Source organism: Homo sapiens, chromosome 18 (genome assembly GCF_000001405.40).
Source record: "Homo sapiens chromosome 18, GRCh38.p14 Primary Assembly".
NCBI classification, from domain to species: Eukaryota; Metazoa; Chordata; class Mammalia; order Primates; family Hominidae; genus Homo; species Homo sapiens.
The window spans coordinates 64,572,447-64,578,072 of NC_000018.10; positions in this window are offsets into that span (position 1 = coordinate 64,572,447).

Consider the following 5,626-nt stretch of genomic DNA (forward strand, 5'->3'; position numbering starts at 1 on the left):
TATCTATGTCCTAAATGATATTGCCTAGGTTTTCTTCTAGGGTTTTTATGGTGTGAAGTTTTACATTTAAGTCAAGTCTTTAATCCATCTTTAGTTAATTTTTATAAGGTATGAGGCCAAGCCAAGATGGCAGAATAGGAACAGCTCCAGTCTACAGCTCCCAGCGTGAGCGATGCAGAAGACGGGTGATTTCTGCATTTCCATCTGAGGTACCAGGTTCATCTCACTAGGGAGTGCCAGACAGTGGGTGCAGCACACCATGCACGAGCCGAAGCAGGGCAAGGCATTGCCTCACTCAGGAAGCGCAAGGAGTCAGGGAGTTCCCTTTCCTAGTCAAAGAAAGGGGTGACAGAGGGCACCTGGAAAATCGGGTCACTCCCACCCTAATACAGCGCTTTTCCAACGGGCTTAAAAAATGGCACACCAGGAGATTATATCCTGCACCTGGCTCGGAGGGTCCTACCCACAGTCTCGCTGATTGCTAGCACAGCAGTCTGAGATCAAAATGCAAGGTGGCAGCGAGGCTGGGGGAGGGGCGCCTGCCATTGCCCAGGCTTGATTAGGTAAACAAAGCAGGCAGGAAGCTCGAACTTGGTGGAGCCCACCACAGCTCAAGGAGGCCTGCCTGCCTCTGTAGGCTCCACCTCTGGGGGCAGGGCACAGACAAACAAAAAGAAAGCAGTAACCTCTGCAGACTTAAATGTCCCTGTCTTACAGCTTCGAAGAGAGTAGTGGTTCTCCCAGCACACAGCTGGAGATCTGAGAATGGGCAGACTGTCTCCTCAAGTGGGTCCTTGACCCCCAAGCAGCCTAACTGGGAGGCACCCCCCAGTAGGGGCAGACTGACACCTCACATGGCTGGGTACTCCTCTGAGACAAAACTTCCAGAGGAACAATTAGGCAGCAGCATTTGTGGTTCACCAAGATCCGCTCTTCTACAGCCACCGCTGCTGATACCCAGGCAAACAGGGTCTGGAGTGGACCTCTAGCAAACTCCAACAGACCTGCAGCTGAGGGTCCTGTCTGTTTGAAGGAAAACTAACAAACAAACAGAAAGGACATCCACACCAAAAACCCTTCTGTACGTCACCAACATGAAAGACCAAAAGTAGATAAAACCACAAAGATGGGGAAAAAACAGAGCAGAAAAACTGGAAACTCTAAAAAGCAGAGCGCCTCTCCTCCTCCAAAGGAACACAGCTCCTCACCAGCAAAGGAACAAAGCTGGACAGAGAATGACTTTGACGAGCTGAGAGAAGAAGGCTTCAGACGATCAAACTACTCCAAGCTACAGGAGGAAATTCAAACCAATGGCAAAGAAGTTAAAAACTTTGAAAAAAAATTAGATGAATGGATAACTAGAATAACCAATGCAGAGAAGTCCTTAAAGGAGCTGATGGAGCTGAAAGCCAAGGCTCGAGAATTACGTGAAGAATGCAGAAGCCTCAGGAGCCAATGCGATCAACTGGAAGAAAGGGTATCAGTGATGGAAGATGAAATGAATGAAATGAAGCGAGAAGGGAAGTTTAGAGAAAAAAGAATAAAAAGAAATGAAGAAAGCCTCCAAGAAATATGGGACTATGTGAAAAGACCAAATCTACATCTGATTGGTGTACCTAAAAGTGATGGGGAGAATGGAACCAAGTTGGAAAACACTCTGCAGGATATTATCCAGGAGAACTTCCCCAATCTAGAAAGGCAGGTCAACATTCAGATTCAGGAAATGCAGAGAACGCCACAAAGATACTCCTTGAGAAGAGCAACTCCAAGACACATAATTGTCAGATTCACCAAAGTTGAAATGAAGGAAAAAATGTTAAGGGCAGACAGAGAGAAAGGTCGGGTTACCCACAAAGGGAAGCCCATCAGACTAACAGCAGATCTCTTGGCAGAAACTCTACAAGTCAGAAGAGAGTGGGGGCCAATATTCAACATTCTTAAAGAAAAGAATTTTCAACCCAGAATTTCATATCCAGCCAAACTAAGCTTCATAAATGAAGGAGAAATAAAATACTTTACAGACAAGCAAATGCTGAGAGATTGTGTCACCACCAGGCCTGCCCTAAAAGAGCTCCTGAAGGAAGCACTAAACATGGAAAGGAACAACCGATACCAGCCACTGCAAAAACATGCCAAAACGTAAAGACAATCAAGGCTAGGAAGAAACTGCATCAACTAACGAGCAAAATAACCAGCTAATATCATAGTGACAGGACCAAATACACACATAACAATATTAACTTTAAATGTAAATGGGCTAAATGCTCCAATTAAAAGACTGGCAAATTGGATAAAGAGTCAAGACCCATCAGTGTGCTGTATTCAGGAAACCCATCTCATGTGCAGAGACACACATAGGCTCAAAATAAAGGGATGAAGATCTACCAAGCAAATGGAAAACAAAAAAAGGCAGGGGTTGCAATCCTAGTCTCTGATAAAACAGACTTTAAACCAACAAAGATCAAAAGAGACAAAGAAGGCCATTACATAATGGTAAAGGGATCAATTCAACAAGAGGAGCTAACTATCCTAAATATATATGCACCCAATACAGGAGCACCCAGATTCATAAAGCAAGTCCTTAGAGACCTACAAAGAGACTTAGACTCCCACACAATAATAATGGGAGACTCTAACACCCCACTGTCAACATTAGATCAACAAGACAGAAAGTTAACAAGGATATCCAGGAATTGAACTCAGCTCCGCATCATACAGACCTAATAGACATCTACAGATCTCTCCACCCCAAATCAACAGAATATACATTCTTCTAAGCACCACACCACACTTATCCAAAATTGACCCCATAGTTGGAAGTAAAGCACTCCTCAGCAAATGTAAAAGAACAGAAATTATAACAAACTGTCTCTCAGACCACAGTGCAATCAAACTAGAACTCAGGACTAAGAAACGCACTCAAAACCGCTCAACTACATGGAAACTGAACAACCTGCTCCTGAATGACTACTACTGGGTACATAACGAAATGAAGGCAGAAATAAACATGTTCTTTGAAACCAACAAGAACAAAGACACAACATACCAGAATCTCTGGGACACATTTAAAGCAGTGTGTAGAGGGAAATTTATAGCACCAAATGCCCACAAGAGAAAGCAGGAAAGATCCAAAATTGACACCCTAACATCACAATTAAAAGAACTAGAAAAGCTAGAGCAAACACATTCAAAAGCTAGCAGAAGGCAAGAAATAACTAAAATCAGAGCAGAACTGAAGGAAATAGAGACACAAAAAACCCTTCAAAAAATTAATGAATCCAGGAGCTGGTTTTTTGAAAAGATCAACAAAATTGATAAGACCACTAGCAAGACTAATAAAGAAGAAAAGAGAGAAGAATCAAATAGACACAATAAAAAATGATTAAGGGGATATCACCACCAATCCCACAGAAATACAAACTACCACCAGAGAATACTACAAACATCTCTATGCAAATAAACTAGAAAATCTAGAAGAAATGGATAAATTCCTAGATACATACACCCTCCCAAGACTAAACAAGGAAGAAGTTGAATCTCTGAATAGACCAATAAGAGGCACTGAAATTGTGGCAATAATCAATAGCTTAACAACCAAAAAAAGTCCTGGACCAGATGGATTCACAGCCGAATTCTACCAGAGGTACAAGAAGGAGCTGGTACCATATTTTCTGAAACTATTCCAATCAATAGAAAAAGAGGAATCCTCCCTAACTCATTTCATGAGGCCAGCATCATCCTGATACCAAAGCCTGGCAGAGACACAACAAAAAAAGAGAATTTTAGACCAATATCCTTGATGAACATTGATGCAAAAATCCTCAATAAAATACTGGCAAACCGAATCCAGCAGCACATCAAAAAGCTTATCCACCATGATCAAGTGGGCTTCATCCCTGGGATGCAAGGCTGGTTCAACATATGCAAATCAATAAATGTAATCCAGCATATAAACAGAACCAAAGACAAAAACCACATGATTATCTCAATAGATGCAGAAAAGGCCTTTGAGAAAATTCAACAACCCTTCATGCTAAAAACTCTCAATAAATTAGGTATTGATGGGACGTATCTCAAAATAATAAGAGCTATCTCTGACAAACCCACAGCCAATATCATACTGAATGGGCAAAAACTGGAATCATTCCCTTTGAAAACTGGCACAAGACAGGGATGCCCTCTCTCACCACTGCTATTCAACATAGTGTTGGAAGTTCTGGCCAGGGCAATTAGGCAGGAAAAGGAAATAAAGGGTATTCAATTAGGAAAAGAGGAAGTCAAATTGTCCCTGTTTGCAGATGACATGATTGTATATCTAGAAAACCCCATTGTCTCAGCCCAAAATCTCCTTAAGCTGATAAGCAACTTCAGCAAAGTCTCAGGATACAAAATCAATGTACAAAAATCACAAGCATTCTTATACACCAATAACAGGCAGGGAGCCAAATCATGAGTGAACTCCCATTTACAATTGCTTCAAAGAGAATAAAATACCTAGGAATCCAACTTACAAGGGACATGAAGGACCTCTTCAAGGAGAACTACAAACCACTGCTCAATGAAATCAAAGAGGACACAAACAAATGGAATAACATTCCATGCTCATGGGTAGGAAGAATCAATATCATGAAAATGGCCATACTGCCCAAGGTAATTGATAGATTCAATGCCATCCCCATCAAGCTACCAATGACTTTCTTCACAGAATTGGAAAAAACTACTTTAAGGTTCATATGGAACCAAAAAAGAGCCCGCATAGCCATGTCAATCCTAAGCCAAAAGAACAAAGCTGGAGGCATCATGCTATCTGACTTCAAACTATACTACAAGGCTACAGTAACCAAAACAGCATGGTACTGGTACAAAAACAGAGATATAGACCAATGGAACAGAACAGAGGCCTCAGAAATAATGCCACATATCTACAACCATCTGATCTTTGACAAACCTGACAAAAACAAGATATGGGGAAACGATTCCCTATTTAATAAATGGTGCTGGGAAAACTGGCTAGCCATATGTAGAAAGCTGAAACTGGATCCCTTCCTTACACCTTATACAAAAATTCATTCAAGATGGATTAAAGACTTACATGTTAGACCTAAAACCATAAAAACCCTAGAAGAAAACCTAGGCAATACCATTCAGGACATAGGCATGGACAAGGACTTCATGTCTAAAACACCAAAAGCAATGGCAACAAAAGCCAAAATTGACGAATGGGATCTCATTAAACTAAAGAGCTTCTGCACAGCAAAAGAAGCTACCATCAGAGGGAACAGGCAACCTACAAAATGGGAGAAAATTTTTGCAATCTACTCATCTGACAAAGGGCTAATATCCAGAATCTACAATGAACTCAAACAAATTTACAAGAAAGAAACAACCCCATCAAAAAGTGGGCAAAGGATATGAACAGACACTTCTCAAAAGAAGACATTTATGAAGCCAAAAAACACATGAAAAAATGTTCATCATCACTGGCCATCAGAGAAATGCAAATCAAAACCACAATGAGATACTATCTATCTCACACCAGTTAGAATGGTAATCATTAAAAAGTCAGGAAACAACAGGTGCTGGAGAGGATGTGGAGAAACAGGAACACTTTTACACTGTTGGTGGA